General features: G+C 36.0%; 1 long non-coding RNA gene across 2 annotated transcripts in view, besides 2 other annotated features; it reads right to left on the bottom strand.

Annotated features, from left to right (window-relative positions):
• Positions 1-22081, bottom strand: part of CFAP20DC-DT (CFAP20DC divergent transcript) — a 724471-nt gene that overhangs the window by 661970 nt on the left and 40420 nt on the right. The gene's annotated exons all lie outside the window — the stretch shown is intronic.
• Positions 20041-20564: an enhancer, noted in NCBI's record as "OCT4-NANOG-H3K27ac hESC enhancer chr3:59114503-59115026 (GRCh37/hg19 assembly coordinates)". NCBI's record gives its function as "activates a minimal SCP1, AML or CMV promoter by ChIP-STARR-seq in primed H9 embryonic stem cells {active_cell/tissue: H9 hESC(primed)}" and the evidence as "EXISTENCE:reporter gene assay evidence [ECO:0000049][PMID:30033119]".
• Positions 20565-21089: an enhancer, noted in NCBI's record as "OCT4-NANOG-H3K27ac hESC enhancer chr3:59113978-59114502 (GRCh37/hg19 assembly coordinates)". NCBI's record gives its function as "activates a minimal SCP1, AML or CMV promoter by ChIP-STARR-seq in primed H9 embryonic stem cells {active_cell/tissue: H9 hESC(primed)}" and the evidence as "EXISTENCE:reporter gene assay evidence [ECO:0000049][PMID:30033119]".

The following is a 22081-nucleotide window of genomic DNA, read 5'->3' as shown; positions in this document are numbered from 1 at the left end:
GGAGAGTGAAAGGGACAGAGATCGTTTGAAGAAATGGCTAAAAACTTCCCAAGTTTGGCTGGGTACACTGGCTCACACCTGTAATGACAGTACTTTGGGAAGCCAAAGTGGCAGGAAGTACCAAAGTGGCAGCTGTACTTTGGAAAGCCAAAGCACAGCTGCAGGCTGTGCAGGCTAGGAGTTCAAGACAGTCCTGGGCAACATAGTGAGACCAGAGGCCCTGTCTCTACAAAAAGATTTTTTAAAAAAAATAGCCAGATGTGAAGACATATGCCTGTAGTCCCAGCTACTTGGGAGACTGAGGTGGGAGGATCACTTGAGCCCAGGAGTTCGAGGCTGTGGTAGGCTGTGATTGTGCCACTGCACTTCAGCCTGGGCAGCAGACCAAGACCCTGTCTCTATTTAAAACAAAACAAAATAAAAAACCCCACAAATTTCCAAGTTTGACAAAAGACATTAAGGTTCAAGAAACTCAATAAATTCCAAGTAGGATGAATTCAAAGAGATCCACACTGAGACATATTATAATCAAATTGTCAAAAGTCAAGACAAAAAGAGACTCTTGAAAGCAACAAGAGAGAAGCCACTCACCACATGCAAGTTATCATCAATACAATTAGCAGCAGATTCCTCAGAAGAAACTTTGAAGGACAGAAGGCAGTAGGCTGAAATACTTAACATGCTAAAAGAGAAAAAAAACCCTGTAAATCAAGAATCCTGTTCTTGATTTGCTGATGGACAGCAAAACTGTCCATAAAAAGTGAGGGAGAAATTAACATTCCCAGAAAAATAAAAGCTAAGGAAGTTCATTATCACTAGACCTGCTCTGCAAGAAATGCTAAAGAGGATCCTACAGGATGAAATTAAAGGATGGATACTAGACAATAACTAAAAACTTTATGAAGAAATAGAGATCTCGGTAAATGTAAATATATGGGCTATTACAAGAGCCAATATTATTGTAATGACAGTTTGTAACTCCACTTTTTGTTTTCTATGTGATTTCAAAGACTAACATATATTTTAAAAACAAGTATTAATCTAAAAGCTTGTGTTTTGATAATGTTTTTCTATAATTTCATTTTTTGTTTTCTACGTAATTTAAGAGAGTAACATATTTTAAAAACCAATTATTAGTTTATGTTTATGGATACTCAATGTAAAAAGATGTAATGTGGTGATATCAGTAACTAAAGGGATACGGACAAGGCTGTAAGGAAGCAGAGTATTTGTATGCTATTGAAATTAAGCTAGTCTAAATTCAAATTTGAGAGTTATAACTTTAGGGTGTTAAATGTAATTTCCATAGTAACCACAAAGAAAGTCATTTTGGAATATACACAAAAAGGGATGAGAAGAGAATTAAAACATTTCACTACAGAAAAAAATCAGTCAAACACAAAAGAAGACAATAATGCAAGAAATGAGGAATAAAATAGTTGTAAGGCATTATAGAAAATAAGAGGCAAAGTGACAGAAGTTCCTCTTTATCAGTAATTACTTTAAATGTAAATGGATTAAACTCTCCATTTAAGAGACAGAGATTGGCATAATAAATTTTTAAATGATCCCACTACATGCAATCTGCAAGTGACTCACTTTAGTTCCAAAGATACAAATAGCCTGAAAGTGAAAGGATAGAGACATTCCATGCAGATAATTCTCAAAAGAGAACAAGTGTGGCTATCCTAATATCAGACAAAAATGAGTTTAAATCAAAAAAGTTTACAAGACACAAAGAAGGACATTGTATATCAATAAAAAATTCCATAAAGAAAGAAGATATAACAAATACAGTAATAGTCGAAGACTTCAACACCCCACTCTAAATAATAGATAGATCAACCAGACAGAGGATAGGTAAGGAAATAGAGAACTTGAACAACACAATACAACTAGATCAACACAATACAGCTTATGCAGAACACTATACCCAACAACAATAGAATACATATTCTTCTCAAGGTCACATGGGACATTTTCCAGGATAGACCTTATATTATAATAGGCCACAAATGAAATCTCAATAGATTTGAAAGAGATCACTACCATACAAAGTATGTTCTCTGACCGCAAAAGGATGAACACACAAAAATCAGTTGTATTTATATACACTAATAATGAACAATCTGAAAAGGAAATTAAGAAAACAATTCCATTAACAGTACTATCAGAAAAAATAAAATACTTAGGACTTAACCAAAGAGGTGAAGATTTGTACAATAAAAACTACAAAACATTGATGAAATTTTAAAAGACATAAATAAATGAAAAGGTATCCCTGCTCATGTACTGAAATGCAATACTGTTAAAATGTCAATACCACCCAATATTATCTAAAGATCCAATGCAATCCCTATCAAAATCCCAACTATATTTTTTGTAGAAATCAAAAAATCCATGGTAGAATTCATATGAAATCGCAAGAAACCCCAAATATCCAAAACAATCTTGAAAAAGAACAACAAAGCTGGAGGAATCATACTTCTTTATCTCAAAACTTATTACAAAGCAGCTCCAGTAATCCAAACAATGTAACCCTTACTAACACTGTATACAAAAATTAACTCAAAATGAATTAAATACTTAAATGTAAGAGCTAAAACTATAGAAGTCTTAAGTAGAAAACATAGGGCAAAAGCTTCTCCACACGGGATTTCACAATGATTTCTTGAATATGACACCAAAGGCACAGGCAACAACAACAAAATACAGACAAATCAGACTGCATAAAATTAAAAGCTTTTGTACATCAAACAACATTATCAACAAAGTGAAAATGCAACCTAAAGAATGGAAGAAAGTCCTTGCAAATTGTATATCTGATAAGTGATTAAAATACAGAATATATAGAGAACTCCGAACTCAACAACAACAAAATCAAATGACTCAATTTAAAAATGGGCAGAGAATTTGGATAGACATTTCTCCAAAGAAGATACATGAATGGCATTAAACACATGAATAGATGTTTAGCATCACTAATCATTAGGGAAATGCAAATCGAAACCACAATGAGATACCACCTTACACTCATGTGGATATTATGTGTATTTTACCACAATAAAAAATGTAATTATCTGAGACTTCAAAAACAATGAATGAATATATAAATAAAATGCATTTTAAGAATAAATATATATTATAATTTTTAAAAGAATAAATAGAGAGTCACAAGACACTGCCACCTCAAACCTAGCCATTAAAACAAGCTCAACAATTTACAAGTTTACATTTTTTTAAAGGTTCATCAGATTGCTGAGGATGCAAAGAAACCCAAATAAACTAAACTCCAGAAAGTGATTAATCCATCTGGGAGAGAAGAGAGCCACTGTTTCTTTACTCCCTGACAGAACAGCCAAAAGAAGACAAATCTGCCAAAGACAGGGATAAGGAGAAACTAGCCAAACTTTGAAGGAACCTTTAATGACCCCGTGGGATGGTGTGATGAATGAGAACCTCAGGAACCCTAATCACAGGCAAGTCTTCCCCAACCTGTGAGCTCGTTTCCATGGGACTTGAGTGTCAAGGGTAGGTAAGGAGAGCTGAGAGAGCCTTCGCCAAAGACAAATACCAGGAAGCCTGAGGGCAAGCCAGAAAAATGGAAAGAAATCCCTCCAAGTCACTCCAGACCTTCACCAAGTGAAGGGCATGGACTCTGAAAACTGAGAGCAGGGCACAACACCAACAGAAACCTCCAAAACATTATGCTAAGTCATAGAAGCCAGACAGAAAGCATTGTGTATTTTATGATTCCATTTATATGAAATATCTAGAACATATAAATCCATAGAGACGGAGCACACATTGGTGGTTGCCACAGGCTGGAGAGAGGGTGCTAGTTGGGACAAACTGCTTAATGGGTAAAGAGTTTAATTTTGGAATGATGGAAATGTTTTGGAACTAGATAGAGGTGGTATTTGCAAAATATTGTGAATACACTAAATGCTACTGAATCCTTCATTTTAAAGTGGTTAATTTCATATTATGTGAATTTTACCTCAACTTATTAAAGTATCTTACATAAATAACGAAGTGCCTGAAGCAGTTCTCTTAATGCCAAGAAAAATCTCTCCAAAGTACTCTGGGCCTTAACAGAGGATAGTTCAACAGTCCTCCAGAGGCAAGGGCAGGGCAGCTAGGGGGAGAGAGGTCTCTGCAGTGCAGAAAATTAGGGGCAGGACTAAAAGTCAAAGAGAACTCCCAGTGACACTTAAAGCTGGCAAACAGGATCTCTGGAGTCTCACCAGACTCTGCCGAAGGACACATCTTAAACCTAATTTCAAACATGTGAAGCCAGCAGTAACTGCGTGTAACTAAAAGTGGACAAAGCCTAGATCCAGTACAACTACAGATTAGATTGATTTTGTTCCTCACATTAACAGCTTGAAAGAAGAAGCAATATCACTTGTATGGTGGTAAGTATTGTTTATACTACTCTTTTGCGTATAATGCTTGGCATAAAATTTATAAAATTATGAGATGTGAAGAAGCAAGAAAAATGTGGCCCATGATCCAGAAGGAGAAAAATGGGAATAAAAGCAAATCTGGAGAGAGTTCAGATATTGGATTTACCAAACAGGGACTTTAAAATAATTATGATAAATACATAAAAGAAACTAGTTATAAAATTTTAACATATATGAGCTGATAAGGAATTTTAGCAGAGACAGAAACTATAGTCAAGAACCAACTGGAAGAGCTGGTGGGGGCAAGAATTGAATTACACTGACATAAGCTTCTAACATTTTCATGTGCTTTTAAAGAGTTTACCTTCAAATTACATTATCTCTAGAGCAACCACTAAAAATTACACAAAGAGGTATAAATAAGACATCAATAGAGCAAATTAAAAGAAATGCTGAATACAGTGATTCAAAGAATCAGAAAAGAAGGCATCAAGGGTTAAGGAAAAGATGGGACAAATAGAATCAAATACCAAGATGGCAGACCAAAATTCAACCACATCAATAATTACATTAACCATAAAGAAAGTAAGCACTCCATGTAAAAGGCAAACATTTTCAGACTGGTTAAAAAGCACAAGACCCAAATATTTGCCATTTAATAAAAAAGCACCTTATATTAAAGACAGATAGGTTGAAAATAAAGACTTAGCATATATTTCCCATTCTAAGAGTTATATATCCACATAGAAAATATGTAAAATGCATGAAGAAATATATCCCAAAAAGATTTTATTTACAATTTCTAGATAATAGCATCAAAATAGACGACAAAGAAAAAGCTAAGGTCATTCTGAATTCTGCACATTTTGAGACATAGAAGTGAGAGAACAAATACCATATTCTCTTCCCCACAATTCCCCTTGGCTCTTTGCTAAGAAAACTGAATACTGGGCTGGAAGACCCATTCCCATTGGCATACTCAGTATAAATTTTTGTGATTTTACATCTTTCATATATATATATATATATATATATATAAAATAAATATATATACCCATTTATACTTACACATATACACACACATATGTATAACTCCCCCTCCATCACCTCCCATTGCAGATAGACACTAAGTGATTAAATAATACTGACCTGAGCTAATGTTGATCCACAGGAAGTGCTGAAGCTTGAGGAAAGAACAGTTGAGTTTTAAGACAAGACTCTAAGCAGAAAAAGATTCTTCCCATGAAAGTAGTATTCACTTCTCCCTCCAGTGGCCACAGCATTAAGAGCACTTCACTACCCAAGCATGATCCTGCAAAGAGTGTGCAGCACCAAAGAACTACCAATACAAACTTGGGTGCTCAGGGAAAGACATAGAACTGTAGTGCTCCATAGAACAATCTGCAGAGCATACCTAGGGGACCCAAGCTTTACACAGGCCTTAATTGATAAAACCTCAGGACTTAAAGACCATACTTTGAATAAGTGTATGAATACATAGCAGTATTCAGCAATAAAGGCCTGGAGGCAAGAAACGGGCATCACAATTCAGAACAGACCAATTAGAAAAAGAAAAGAGTATCCATACTGCAACAAAATATTCATTTAGCCATACTTGTTAGGGTTATCATGTTACCTTACTAAGGAAGTAGTCAACAATACCAGAACCCACTTGTATACTCAATTGTATATATGTATCAATAAGAATGTGGATTCAAATATGCTCAACCAACAATAGTTATGGAGTTATTATTGAAAGAAGACTATGAATTGCATGGACCCTGAGTGTTTCTTTCTGGGTGACATATACATATTACACACATTTGGCCAAACACAGAGGAAAAGGAATCAAACCATGAGGCCATTAACAACCATGCCCAAAAATGTCCAAAGCCTTGTGACATAACTGATCACTGACAGGAAAACATGCACACATAGAATGTGAATAAAATGTGAAACCAAATTACAGCATAATCCCATAGATGTTAAAATATATTATACACATTTCCCTAAGTCACATTTTTTCCCCTTCTAGGTTAAGATTATACCTCTCAACGCTGAATCACATAAATTAACACCATCCCTTCATGTTCCCGTAACGCCGCTTTCCAATGGTAAGAGTCATCCACTGGATAGAGAACAAAGATGCCATTGTTGAAGGACTCCAGATTTAAAAGCCCACAGAGATGGATAAAGATGACACAGAGGCACATTTAATGGAACAGCGTAAAAGAGTAGGTGGTCACTTGCCCCTGAAATGCTTCTCTGAACAGATCCATGTTGAAAGAAGAGGAGCAGGCTTTGATACAAATTAATTGGCAGGCATGTGAACCAGAGAAAGAAAACACATACCTTTAGAAAAGATGTGAGACGATAAAAAGCAGGAAGTCAAACTTCCTAAGACAGAAGTCTGAATCAGAGTTGAGCTGCTTTTTCCCAAACTGACTTGAACTTATTAAAGTCTTGAATCTGAACACCAGGACTGAAAGTTTCAGAAAAGCTCACTGATTTTTAGTACTTTTGCTTGAAGCCAGAAATGCAGCAAGGACAAAAATACAGCAGGCATGCTTTATATATATGCATCCACCATTTTAATCTGAACCAAAGTGAAGAACTACTTATCTGAACCCTGCATTGCCTCCCATGTTGGGACTCTGTTTCTCAAGGTATTTACTTACCCACTTCTACTGTCCGGGGAAGAAGTGGACACTAGATCCAAGAGGAAGCTGAATTTTGGAATGATACTGTTATTGTGGACAGTAGGAATCACTAAATTTCATGCTAGTTTTTAAAACATTTTCTAAAGTAGTATCAAAATAATCATGCACATAATAACTGAAAACAGAACAAAATGCACCTGGGAAGTTTTGATTTGAAAATTACTTTGCTTACTTTTCTGGGTTTTTTTGTTTATGAAAAATAGCACTTCCTTGGCTCCCGCCTCTAATTTTTTCCCTCCTGAAGGCAATCATTTGCATCTCTTTTGAGTAATTATTTTAGACTATCTATCCCAGCTCTAAATAATATGTTTATACTATTTTGATTTTTCCATGTGTTATCTCCAATTATGGAAGACAAAGATCTGCATCCTCCTGCTCCTGCCACACACTGGGCCCTGTCCATTTTCTCACCACTAATAAAGTAATACAAGGAAGATCAACAATCATGGACTTCGATAGTACAGTTATATAAATACCATCCATAGATGAGCTATGACATGAACTGTATTCATTTTTCCTTTCATGCATTTTTTAATTTTCTCTGGAAGGTGAAGTAATTTTGTTACTGTTTAATCATTTGCTTTGTGTTCTACATATTTACCACTAATTCTAGCCCTAATTCTGTCAGTTTCCTCAGTCTCCTCTCGGGACAATCAGACACATCTGATTTCTAACAGTTTCATCCTCCTGAAGAAGCCTGTCTTGGATATTTCTGACCTGCTCTAATCCACACTGGTTTTCATCTCTGCCTGATGCACCACGCCTCTCCTGGGCTCTTCCTTCACAACCTCCTGGGGGCTTCCTTTGCCTCTCTCCTCTAGTGCATTGCTCTTTCTGGTATCCCTTGTTTTCCTCTATATTGGTCTTTTCCCTGACTTTTTTGGAGGGCAGTAGCTTTCCAAGAAAGAGTGCATGAGGTAAGTATTTTGGAATCTTGCATGTCTTAAACTGCCTGTATTCTATCACCACACTTGACTGATCATTCCTCTGCAACAGAATTTCTAGATTAGAAACATTTTCCTCCATATTTTTAAAGATGTTGCCTCCAGTGCCTTCTAGCTTCCTGGGTTAGTTATTCTGAAATTATCCTGATTTGGGATACTTTGTATTTGACTTGTTTGGTCTGGATACCCACAGGATCTTTCCTTTGTCCAGGGGGCCAATCAATGTGATATTTGTGCAGGAACAAAGAGATCAGTAGAACGGAATCGACAATCAAGAAATAGCATCCCATTATAAATGATAATAAAATTTAAAGCAAAGTACTATTTTTAATTTAACAAGTAGAAATGGTTTATTTTGTGAGTAATACTTAGAACTGGCTGGCTATTCATATGGAAGAAAATAATGCCTATCACATTACTTTAAAAAAATTACAGATGCATAGAGATCAAGTGTAAAATATAAATAATTTTTTATTTTTTATTCTTTATTTCAATAGCTTTATGGGTTTTGGTTACATGGATGAATTGTATAGTGGCAAAGTCTGGGATTTTATTGTACCCATCACCTTACATCCATTAGGTGTACCTTATATCCATTAGGTAGATTTTTATGTCTCTCCCCTGCCACCCTCCCCACTCCTGAGTCTCCAGTGTCCATTATACCACTCTGTATGCCGTTGCATACCCATAACTTAGCTACCCCTTATAAGTGAGAACATGTGGTACTTGGTTTTCTAAGAATTGTTTTTAATCTTGGAAAAAAATTCAAGAGACTACATGTAAAATACAGAAATAGTAGAGACTTTCTTAACCAAGAGAGGAAGCCTGACATTTATCAAAAGGATATCTGGACATATTTAACTATATAAAAATTTAAAATTATTTGGATGAAGAATTATAAAGCAAAACACAAATTATAGACGTAAAGTAAATAGACAAAAAATACTTTAAAGTAAATAGACAAATGGTCTCATAAATTGACAAGAGAAAAACAGCAAAATAGAAAAATGGACAAAAGAAATAAATGAGCAGTAAGCTTCCCTAAATACCCTCTCCTATCCTGGCAAAATAGCTTATTTTTTAAATTTTGGAGATGGTAAAATAAGAGGACACCAAGTGTAGTTGAGAATGGGATGGGGCATCATACTGAAAACAGAACAATTCATTAAATGTATCCATACTATACATTAAGACTTCCAGATTTTTCCCCCATGCAGTTACCAGAAAGTTGGCGACAAAGCCTTTACTTTCCCTGAAGAGTTTTAGCAGGCCAAAAGACCTAAAACTATTGACGTTATAATTTTCCACAACTAAACGGTCCAACTTGATCTTCTCACAGTGCTGCTAACAGGAATCACTGCTAGTCAGAAAAATGCAAATTCAAGTAACAATGTGCATGGAAATTGGCCTTCCAGAGCACTGGCAACTGGAGGCAAAGATCTTCTTTTTTTTTTTTTTTTTTTTTTTTTTTTTTTTTGAGACGGAGTCTCGCTCTGTCGCCCAGGCTGGAGTGCAGTGGCGGGATCTCGGCTCACTGCAAGCTCCGCCTCCCGGGTTCACGCCATTCTCCTGCCTCAGCCTCCCAAGTAGCTGGGACTACAGGCGCCCGCCACTACGCCCGGCTAATTTTTTTTTGTATTTTTAGTAGAGACGGGGTTTCACCGTTTTAGCCGGGATGGTCTCGATCTCTTGACCTCGTGATCCGCCCGCCTCGGCCTCCCAAAGTGCTGGGATTACAGGCGTGAGCCACCGCGCCCGGCCAAAGATCTTCTTTAGAAGCATCTGTTCTGTGACTATGTCCTTGCCCCAGATGAGAATGTGGCCTGCTGATGATATATGATTCACAATGAAAAGCATAAGGCTTATCAACCTTCCCTTAAACAGAAATAAAAGTTCTGCTGGAAAAATGATGTAAGCTTTGATCATGAAAGATACATGGTATAACAGAAGTGCCCCAGTCTGCAGGACCTGTTGTGCTTCAACAGGGAACTAGGGGCCATGAATAAGCCTTGCCATGATATCTGTGGCCATCCTACTTCCAATTAGTTTCTATGTCCTTCTCTATTTAAATCAGGCACTGGCTGTGTGTGTGTGTGCGCGCGCGCGCGCCTGTGTGTGTGTGTGTGTGTGTGTGTGTGTGTCTTTTTGTCAATCTATAACTGGAATGTTGCAAATTGGGTCAAGAGTGGGCTAGAAATAAAATCCATACAACCTCAGTGATTTTCCAAGGGGTACCAAGGATCTGAAGGAAAGTATAAGCTGAGTATGCCATGGATAGAAACTAACGAGTCCAAAGTATGAGACCACTGGGTCACAAGGTATGAGACCACTGAGGAAGGTTGCTGTTTATGTGTGTCGTATCAGTGGAAATTCGTACAATGATTTCTATCAACAGCCAGTTGAGCTTGTTAGATGAATTTTTTACTGGTTCAAACAAGGCCCCTCTTTTGTTTGTGTAATTTATTTATTCCCTTTCGTACCCATTTCCCATCCTCACAGGCAACCACTTCTGACATGTTTAATATGAATTATGTATTCCTATAAAAATATATAGTTATTTTGTGAATATGTATATTAAATTTATGTATATCTCATTCTAATCTTTTTAGTCAGTACTATGTTTTTAAGATCAATCTATGTGGTTATGGGTATGACTGTGCCAGAAGTGCAGATAATAAGTGTTTACCCTATTTTACCTATTTCCCCAGCACTGAACACTCAGATTGCCTCTAACAGATGCCCCCACAAATAATAATGAGACAAACATCAGCACCCATGCCCTCTGATGTGAACTTGCTGGGTCATATGACACGCATATACTGAATTGGACTAGGTCCTGCCAAAGAGTTCTCCATAATGGCTGCACCAGTCTACACTCCCACTAGTAATAACAAATTTAAAAAAAAAAAAAATCTGCCTTCACAGAACTTCTATGATAAAAGCCCCAAGAAAAAGATGAATTTCAAGTTGAAGTTTTTGACAGTAACTACATTGTGTGAGCTAAATCTTCCCCTTGGCAAGCAATTTTGGCTTTGAGACACTGTAACTTATACAAAGGTCTTTGAAAATATCCTCAAATGAAAATTAACATTTGACCTGACTAAAGGGTAAGGATACTTTAAATAGATATACATATGAGATCTACATGGATGTTTGCAATTTTTTAAACGTTCTAAGTTGCATTATGTCCAGTATGATTTTTCTTCCTAATTGAAATGGTTGTAGGAAAATTCAACTAGAGTATTAAATAACTAAACTCTGTGGTTTTAACTTCATTTAATTTTCAGATTGATGACCTGAGCCAGCTGAGACAATGGCAAGCCTTGGCCTATGCATGCAGCTGGGAAGGGCAGGATACAGGCTTAGCTGAGAAAAGCCCAGCATGTCATACTCTTCCAAAAGGAAAGCTGTCCATCCTTGCACTAAGATAGACTTAGAGTGAGGCCAAGCTCTCTCTGCATTCTCACTCTCAGGAGACCAATGACCCTTCCAGAAGTAACAGTAAATTGGTCTGGAGTGGGACTGCATAGAATATTAAGGAAATGCTGTCTTCCCTCTGCCTAAATGCATGTGCTAAGTGGCCATGCAAAATGGAAACTTCACTGTTACTGGAAGACAGGTCATCCATATTAGGTAAGTGGGAAACACATGGGTAGGGGTCACCCTGACATACTACAGGCAATTAAGAATAAATTATTGTCTCTGATCTCATCCAGGTTCATACTGAAAGTCCAATGTCTGCTCAGCCTATTTGGCTTTTAACTAAATGACAAACAAGGTTTTATTATCCAGAACAAGCGGTTTAAAAAAAAAAACAAGTTTCTTTTCACTGATGACCACAGAATTACTACCACAAAAGGCAAAATTGATATGGTGCTTTCAATTTATATCAGAACTTGGATCTTTACAACAAGACCTAAAATAGCTGCATTCTTCTTTCTTATTACACTGAAGGATTTTGCTACCCAGACTAAGATTGGAGATATATAAATATGATGTAAACATAAAATTACAACTGAAATACATTATAGACTAAATATCCTTTTGTATTAGCTGCTTCTTATGAAGCCTAGATAATGTTATAAAAATTATATAAGCCTAGTTAATATTTTTTAAATTATAGAATTGAATGTTTAAGATAAATATTAAAAGTCTGAGGTTTCTTGGCCATAATCTGATTATGTTCTATGGCATTCTTACTTAGGTTTTGGAAAGTTAAACTAGTATATTCCCAAGATAAAGAAGAGTAGTAGTCATCAAAGGCCGTAAAGAAATCAGAGTTTTACAATAATCCAGAGAGAAAAAATAATGACACTAGGACATATCTATCTCTTTTAACTCTTAATTCTCTGAACCCTAGTGTCATTACTATTTCTCTCTGGATCATTGTAAAACTGATTTCTTTCTCAAAGAGATATTTGTTTTTAGTCCCCATTTTCTTGCTGTTGTCCATCAACAGTTTGGGACTTTATGTAAGCATCTAAGTATCTAAGAATCTAAGTGTCTATTACCTTTGAAACATTGAGGGCCCATAACTGTTTTTTTAATTAATAGACATTATTTCATAATTTTAGGTTTATTTAAAACTTGAGCAAAAAGTACAGAAAATTCCCATATATATCCTTCTTGTCCATGTCTCCCCACCCAGTTGCCCCTATTGTTAATATCTTTTGTTAGTGTAGTACCTTTGTTAATGACTAATAAGCCAATATTGATATATTATTACTACCTAAAGTCCATAGTTTATATTAGGATTCACTCTTGATGCACATTCTATGGGTTTTGACAAGTGCATAATGGCATGTGTCTTCATGTATCATACTATTACGGTATTATACAGATCAGTTTCACTGCTCTAAAAATCCTCTGTGCTCAAACTAGTAGTCATCCCTCCCTTCCTCACTCTTCCCAAGCCATTCTCATCCATCAATCTTTCTACTGTCTTGAGAGTTTCGCCTCTTGGACCAGACTTTTTATTGCTTTAGTATTCCCCTTGGAAATAAGTTGGCCTGATTTTCTTCTTTAGGCAGTTGTTGTTCTAGTGATGCCTCACACAGGGGAAAAATGAGATCTGCACACTAAATTCTCAGGATGCTTGAGCCAAAAATTCAAAAGAAAGTAAACTTGGGGTAGCATAGAAATTTAAACACACAATTTGGTAAGACAATATATATAGGGAGAAATACCAAAGCTAGTGATCAAAGGTTAAAATGTAGCTCAAAACAATAGCAAATTGCATTAATGAACAATCATTTTAAGTAACATTTTAAAGTGATAAATATGACATAGCAACGTTAATTCATTCATATTGAAAGAAACATAAATGTCTGTTCTATCACTAAAAGCCTGGAGGCCTTTGTCATTAGGCTCTATCCCCTGCTCATACAACACAACATAATATGCAATCCTAATATCCACATTTAATTTCTAGAAACTGATTCTGTTTCTGGGATGGGATAGCTCAAGCTGGGGCTGGCAAATCTAGTGAAAAGACAGCAAAAATACTTTCAAAATTTCTTTCATTGGCCAAAATGTGATGACTATGAATGTGGATCAAAAATCAATTGTTCATAGCTGTAGACTGGAATTATTTGGGTCTATGAAAGGTCATAAGTATATCATGATGTTCAAAAGGGATAAATAATGGAAATTATGCTAGATAAACTTACAGGTGACCCCTTATAAACTTACAAACTCACAGCAGCTATGTATAACCATACATCAAAGAACTGATATATCTCTAGACCTTTGCTTAAGTGGCAGCATGTAGATTATTAGTAGAAGCTATTCTGGAATGGTGTGGGCCCTACAAAAACAATTAGAACAGAAAAAGTTCTGTGGTTTCCTAAGAGGATGCAGGATTCCACCGTGTATGGACATTATCACTGGTGGCTGTGCATCCCACTAAGGAACTTGAGGTCAGGGAAAAAACAGGAAATGTTGTGCTTGCCCTGCCCATTGTGAACACCCAACCTCCAATATGTTTCTGCATTCTTGGGTAACGAAATGGAGAACTACAGTGTGCATGTGTGTGAGAGAGAGATCACTGCAAGTCAATCCGCAGCTCCTCTTAAACACTGCATGGTGTGACATCACTTTACACACAAAACAGTTTAGGAGGGTAGATACCAAGATGTAAACAGTGACTTTACCTGGAAAGTTGGGTTTAACATGTGTTTTACTATCTTTTTTATAAAATAATATTAGCCAAGAAAAAGTCATTTTAATTTTGAAAATTAAAAGATTAAACATTCCATGAAGTTCTTCAAATACAATGAAAATAGCATTAGTTATTTAAGAGCTACAGAATTCTGTCCAGACATTTCAGTACAGAAGTGCAAAAGTAATTGTGGTTTTTGCCATTAAAAGTAATTGCTAAGGTTATACCAAAAAATATTACTAGTGCAAAAAAAGAGACTTTAAATCCTGCCTCTAACAATGTATGACCTTGGGGCATGTTTAAACTCCCTTGAGCCTCAGTTTCTTCATATGTAAAATGTTGAAAATATCACTTACTTTATTGTTACCATTGAAGATACATTAATGATATGCCATGTATATATGTCTCATAAGCATGAAACATAATATACCACTCATAAAATACTTCACAATAGTAAGAAAGGGGAAATATGAATGAATATATAGTTGTATTTGCTTAAATTTGCAAAAAGAAACTATGGAGGGATAAATATATAGCAAACATAGTTTCTTGGCCTGAGGAGAAAAAAATAGGATGGATTGGAGAAGGTAAAAGTGAGACTTTCTATTATACCTTCTTATATTGTTTCGATTGATTTTAAAATAAAATCAGCTTCATAATAAATTCAAAAATTTATCCTCCAAACTCTATGCACCAGGACTAAATATTTTTTATGACAGTCATTTCTCATGTTTCTGATAATAAAGTACTCTTACAGATTCAGTTACATATCCATGCTTTTCATTTTCTGTGACCTTCTATAATTGCCAGTTAGCACCACAAAATAAAATGTAGTTCTTCCTGTCTGTATCAGACTTCCAACTTCCTAGGAAACGCCTTCTCTGTGTTCTTTGTGTCACATCCACAGCCAGAGGTAAATCACAGATATATTGATTTTAGGTATCCACATGTTTGTTACTATTTTAGATCCCTCCTTTGATTTCTTATGAATTAATTTTTTAAAAAATACTTAGGACACTGGATTTCTTTGGGAATACCTAATTACCTAACGTGGAAATCTTCAACCAAAACAATCTTTGAAATGTAGCATCTAACATTAATTTCAATTTCTACTAATGCCAATTATTCAACTACCTTGATGAGAAATTCTAATGTTGAGAATTCAAAAATTCAGACAAGAAAATGAGTTAATAATGCTTTGATGCATTACAATAGGAGAGCTATTAATTTTTTTCACAGATAATTAATTTCTCCTATGTAGGTAGAGGAAGGAATATAGGTGAAATTGCTTTCAGTTTGTATTCAGTTTTGATGTGAAAACTTTCCCTCCTATCAAGGAATCTATAGAAATAATTACTACTTGTAATAAGTTCTTTATGTTCAAAATTTGACATGTTACAAGGTCTACTAATGACAACGTCCATGCAGACCCAAAGCCCTTCTGCTTTCTGTGCTGTGTCGGAGGCATTGTTTCTTTAAAAAGATTTGAGAATCTGACTGAATTGCACAACTGTGCTTATTTTTTTAACTCATAATTCAGGGAACAAAAATGTAAGCTGTTCATACCTAAAATGAAGACGTACTATAATTGGAAATCCAGGAAAAGCACTAACCTAGTTAAAACATATGTCTTTCATTAGGGGAGGAGCAGAAATGAAAAAAAAATAGTTTAAAGTTATGTTTTCAATATTTCTGACTTCATTTTCATATTTCACAGCACCAAATTGTGATGATCTTATAATTTGGAGAAGAAAATGCCAATTTAGAGAAGAAAACGAAGACATTCAACAATCTTGGGAGTTTTTCTAGTGGACTTTTTAATTCCAAGAATACAGTGTCCAAAATGCAGCTTGGCTAAAGTGATAGGCCTAAGCTCTAAAGAGACAATCTTTAAATTCAGGCCTTTCATTTCCAGTTGAAGTTAATTAAAATGAAAGATACGTATGACATAGAAACTGTTTTCACATCTATAAGTATATTAGTCTTCTCCTTTAGGAAAAACAATCTTTTTCTTCCACTGCCCTTGTAAAATATCCCTTAGGATAGAAAATAGCCCAACGTATGTTTCTGTTGAAACGTTGAACAGTCATTCATTAACCTTGAGTACGTTGTGCCGTGAAGAAGACAGTATCCAAATGTATTTTCTCAGTTTCTCACTCTTCACCTGTCTGAAAACGACTTTCAAATGTACAGTGCTCACGCACATTTTTGTTCTTTGGTGAGAGTCATTTGTATACTCATTCCTATGCCCACTATCTTGTCCCACTTCAAAGCATTGTACAGTTTTTTTCTTCTGCTTGAAACACTGTTTCCTGGATGGGCACATGCCTGCTTCTGTATAATTCAGGCTTTAATTCAAAGAGAGGCCTTCCCTTCATGCCACTTTACCCTATATGATCCTCATATGGTACATATAGTGTCTGAAATTGCCCTTTATATATGGTTATTTATGTGTTGACTTCTGTTTCACTCTAACTAGAATCTTTGCTCATCAAGGCCAGGACATCTGTCTTGTGTACCCCTGTTGCTGGTGCTTAAAATAGCACCTGGCCCATTATAAACAAATAAGTGATCCTAAACTCTTTGACAACAGGAATACAGTCTTCTGTTCTCTGAAATGCTATGCATTAGTAGGTAGCCAAAAGTTATCATTCTCCAAGGATTCTACCATCACTCTAAATGTGAACAAACAAAATTAAGCACTGAAATCCAGTTTAAAACCAAAATAAATACTTAGAAAACATTGAGTCCTCAGGTCCAGATTCAAAGTGTTTAGAAAGTGAAAGACAACAAATTTTGAAACTAAATGACCTTATTTTGCTAACTGAATGCCATAAAATCTGAAAGAAAAATACACAATAAACTGAGCAATTGAACCATAAGTCATGTTATCAAAATTTGAATTCATGCCTGAATCATTTGTTAGAAGGAAGATATTTTAACTTGTTCAGTGTACTATGATGGTAAACCTTAATAATGTAAGTACTAACTTATTACTAATTTAGCAGAAAGAATTAATAATCTTTAAAAGTACTTTGATACTAAAATTTATCTTCAAAACAGGAAGAAGTGGGTTCATTTTATAGTCAGAACAAGTGACAAAAAAGAAAATAAAGGTACTTATATATGAACCTGGCTAAAAAGGTTAAATTTAATTTTAATTACATAGTTTTATTAGGTATATGGATATACTAGGTGTTATATTAGGTAAGAAATAGCTGTTTTGTAGGTAAAAAGCAGCTGAAAATCAGCTATTATCATCTACTGAAGATTTCCTAAATGCCAAACACTGTAATGGCAACTGCACATTATATCATTTAATTCTCCCAACAAATCTATGAGCATTATCCCTATTTTTACAAATAAAAAATAGTAGGCTTATAGAAATTAATCAACTTCTGCAAGGTCAAAGACTTAACCAGTGCCCCAATCTCTCAATCTCCACAACCCATTCTGATTCCACTATGCTACCCTACACTCTGGAAGCATATGCTTTTCATTAATTACCAACATGTTTGCCTAAAGGTTTCAATTTCTACTGCTGGCTGGATATCTGTGGTTGGACACATAAAACTCAGCATTCTAATTAATTTTTTGTGTATTAGCATTGACAAAATAGGAAAAGAAAAGTGCCTCTGAGGACCCATCAGGACAGTAGCCAAGCTATTTCTCAGACCAATATTTATTTTTCCATGAGGTCAAGGGCAAGCTTTGTTTTCATCTTTAAAAGTTTATTTTTCTGCTATTAATTTGGAGGCTGCATGGAAAGCCAGTTTACAGGCTAAGTTAAATTGTGAAAAGCAAGATGCAATGAGAAATAATGCGCTTGGAGTCAGATGAATCATTAGGGCTTTGGGACTAATGTACAGCAAATTGAGCCCAGTCCAAGAAAATGTAGATAAAATGAGTTTATAATCAAATAATAGAAGGTGGAAATCCATTTAAATGGAATAATGCTTCTGTTTAGTAGATAAGAATCCGTTTTAAGAATTAAGGTGAAAAATTAACATAGAATTTACATTTCTATACAATAGGCATAGCAGAACAAACGCTTATGGTAGATAAGGTGATGTCTATGTTGCTAGAGGTTTACAGGTGAAATTAAAAAATTATATTGACAATTGTTTGGTATGGTGAATGGTATTTAGTAGGGGTTTACCTACCTTCCCATCACAAACATTTTCAAACATCAACAGAAGGTTAAATGCTCGCTAAAGGCATGGATGAGTAAGACAGGCCAACTCCTAATCTTGACTCTACCTTTGCCAGCTTTGTGGTGAAGGGAAAGCCTCAACCTCTTTACACTTCCTGGTCAACTACAATAGAGTTAACAATAACCACCTGATAAAATGTCTAAGCATAAATAAGATGGTGTATGTGACAGGAGTTTGTCATCTATAAAGCATTATGCAAATGAAAATCAATATAATGTTAATAATAATAATAGAAGTTATAATAAAATGAAAAGCTAATTCCCTACAGGAAGGGTTGTGATCCCACTTCTGTAAAATTAAAATACCTGTGTTTATGAATGAATTAAAAAATTAGAAATAAAGATGTTAGTCCCTTAACTACTGACTTGCAGAGATGTCCATGATATTAAGTGAAAAAAGCAAATTGCGTACAATATAATTCTAATTTAAGGACCGCAAACAATGCATTCATGCTTATATGCTTGAATATAGTTGTATAAAGATACAGCAGGTTGTGGAATGGATCACTTCAGACTTAAGGGATTGAGATGGGAAGATGCTGAACTTTGATACGATGCACATGTGCACATGGGTACATGCCTGAACACAAGCGCGCACACACACACACCCATACACACAACCCTAACTGAACATCATTTGCGTTTTAACCACAAACCCATATTATTTTTGTAATTTGAGAAACAAAGAAAATTTTTAAAAATAATATGAGTAATATAAACCCTTGGAAATAGTATTAATGTTACCAAAAAATGTCACCAAGGTGTGTACCAGCACCCAAACCTACAGAATCACATAACTTATTAGCAATGTTCTAGCACAGTATTCAACATACTTTAATTTGCATTGTGCTGCCAATCCAAGCTGACAACCCAATCCAACTATCCACTGAAACCACCCCCACATTGTCAAATTAAGGGGTCCACTCTGAGATCCAAATCTAGCCTAGGGACCAGAGACCCCTGGGGCATCTGAACTCTGGTAGAATAACTCAGAGGAGCTAGGGGAGAGAGAGGTTGTTAAAGACCTCAATACATAACAGAAAACCTATGATTCCATAAGTTTGGGAGTATCTAAGCCACTGCAGAGCTTAATCTACTTGAATGGCACAAGGAAGCCCTTGTAGTGATATGCTTACTTCAAACCATTTCAGACGTACTTTCCACTTACAGATAGTAGGGGGAAATTAGGACCATGTTCTCTATTTCTTTCTAATTTCCTTAGAAAAGTCTCTGCAAAGTGTAGAAATGCTGTAATGGAATGTTGACTGGGTATATAAAATAAACACATCCTAAGGGCTCCAACTGAAAGAAATCCTAGTAAGAATCAAAAAATGAGTTTTAAAGAAATGTGTCGCACTTTGCTTCTCTTCTGTAATCCTTTGTTTTTCATTCTTATGAAAGTCTAATTCTATGAAGAGAAATTACAGTGTTTCCACAGCAGATGTTTACATAATAAATCAAAGAAGGAGTTGGGGATACTTGGGAAGGGAAGTGAAAATCTTTGTAAGCAAGGCAGCATTTATTGACCATTAGTGACTTCTCGAAACTATTCATAAGGCTTCCACAGGTATTTGGAGTGGTCTGCCAGGCCTTATCCCTGCTCAGGAAGAGATCTCTGCCCACAGATGAAATGTTCTCTCAATTTCTCAGGTAAGAGTGAAATGTTGTCACTCATTAGATGTGTTTCCATTCCCTCCAGATACAGTTCTTTGAACTTAGACCCCTCTTTATTTTCACCAAAGAATCCTAAGATGCTTTACTTTAGTGGCAATTTGAGGAAGAAACCTAGCTAGGCCTTTGGTTTTCTAGCTGATACTGTCACATCTTCAGAGCAGCTTTGAAAGGGGTCTTCTTCTATCTAAATTGAGAGATGACCTGGCACAGAGAGGAATGCTCTTCTAATCTATTTAAACACGTAATACAGAAGGGAGCAAGTGTTAAGCAAATGAGGGCTGCTCTTTGTGAGGCAAATTGTTCCAGCTGTGCAACAGAATAGCCTCCACGTGAAAGGCTCTGGACCCAGCAACGGTCCTTTGAAAATGAAATGTCTTCTGCAGACCACATAGGATGGATACACTGGATTCTGCTTCAGCAATACTGAGCCTAGCAGGACTGGGGCCCTGCCAGGAGGAAGGCCTAACTGGGGGGCAACTGAAGGAACACATTTAAAGTCAGTCTCTCCTTTACCTTCAAGGTATAAGTACAGCTCCAGTAATTCACAGGATTGTTCTCAAAAAGCCTACAAGTTACATAAAAGGAAAAGTTTGAGGGGGAAAGATCTCCAAAGGTGAGCAAGGAAGAAAAAATAAATTCAGATAGTAGAAGAGCTGCCAATTCAGTAAGTTGAGCCTTTCCAAATCTAACCATATTTCTCAGTAGCATCCAATATTGAAAATGCTGCCACCCCAGAAACTTTTACATTTTCTTCCCAATGAGGTATTAAGGAAGATTAACATCCCCTCACAGGCTTAGGGTCAAGGGAGAAAAAAGAAGCTTGTAACAGAGACAAAGTTGGAAGCAAATAAAAATTTTCATGAAAATTGAAATATGAGGCCGGGCGCAGTGGCTCACGCCTGTAATCCCAGCACTTTGGGAGGCCGAGGCGGGCAGATCACGAGGTCAGGAGATCGAGACCATCCCGGCTAAAACGGTGAAACCCCGTCTCTACTAAAAATACAAAAAATTAGCCGGGCGTAGTGGCGGGCGCCTGTGGTCCCAGCTACTTGGGAGGCTGAGGCAGGAGAATGGCGTGAACCCGGGAGGAGGAGCTTGCAGTGAGCCGAGATCCCGCCACTGCACTCCAGCCTGGGCGACAGAGCGAGACTCCGTCTCAAAAAAAAAAAAAAAAAAAAAAAGAAAAAAAAAAAAAAAAAAGAAATATGAACTGATAGTATATTTAAACTTGCCATCCATTTATTGGTCTGTTTTATAAAAATATGCTAAAAATAGCTTTAAAGAAGCTCCTGAATCTCAAAGAATGAGATTTTATATAAAATCCAAAGGAGCTTTAGAAAGTCTTAAGGTTTGTCTAAGATGATGAAATGCGACTAGATGAGTTTGGAGAGGTGACAAGTTCAAATGTTAAAGCAATAATGAGCTTGAGAGGATGCCAGGAGATAAAAGAGATGCTTTGGCACTTTGGGGAGAAAAAAAGCTACTCTTTTTCTCGGTACATAATATGTAGCATCTTTTTATATAGTTTACAAAGGAAAAAGTTCTTCATTTCCCGGAGTAAAAGCTTGATATAAAGCCTTGTTGGCTGTCTCTTTGAAAAGCAACGATTATAGCTACTGTAATTAAAATAATTATAAGAGAAATGGGTACAAATTCTTAGCCATGATGTAACTTTAAAATGCCATTTTCAGGAAAAATCGAAGAAATTAGGCATTCATACACACATATTTAGACCATTTAGACAAACAACTTTTATTTTGCAAGAGTTAGTATTCATGCAGCAAGATGTTAAGGTTTGAACAGTGCCACCCATACATTTATTTCTTCATGACAGATCAAACTTGAAAGAATTAAAACTCTAATCCAGCTCAGTGTCTGGCTTATTTTTTTTTTATGAGAATGAGTCATTCAGAACTCCACTAAATGTCTGCAGTGAGAGAACTCCTGGAGAGCTGGGCAGA

This window comes from Homo sapiens, chromosome 3 (genome assembly GCF_000001405.40).
Source record: "Homo sapiens chromosome 3, GRCh38.p14 Primary Assembly".
Taxonomy (NCBI): Eukaryota; Metazoa; Chordata; class Mammalia; order Primates; family Hominidae; genus Homo; species Homo sapiens.
Note: the sequence above shows the minus strand (reverse complement) of the source record. Positions and strands in the feature narration are given on the sequence as shown.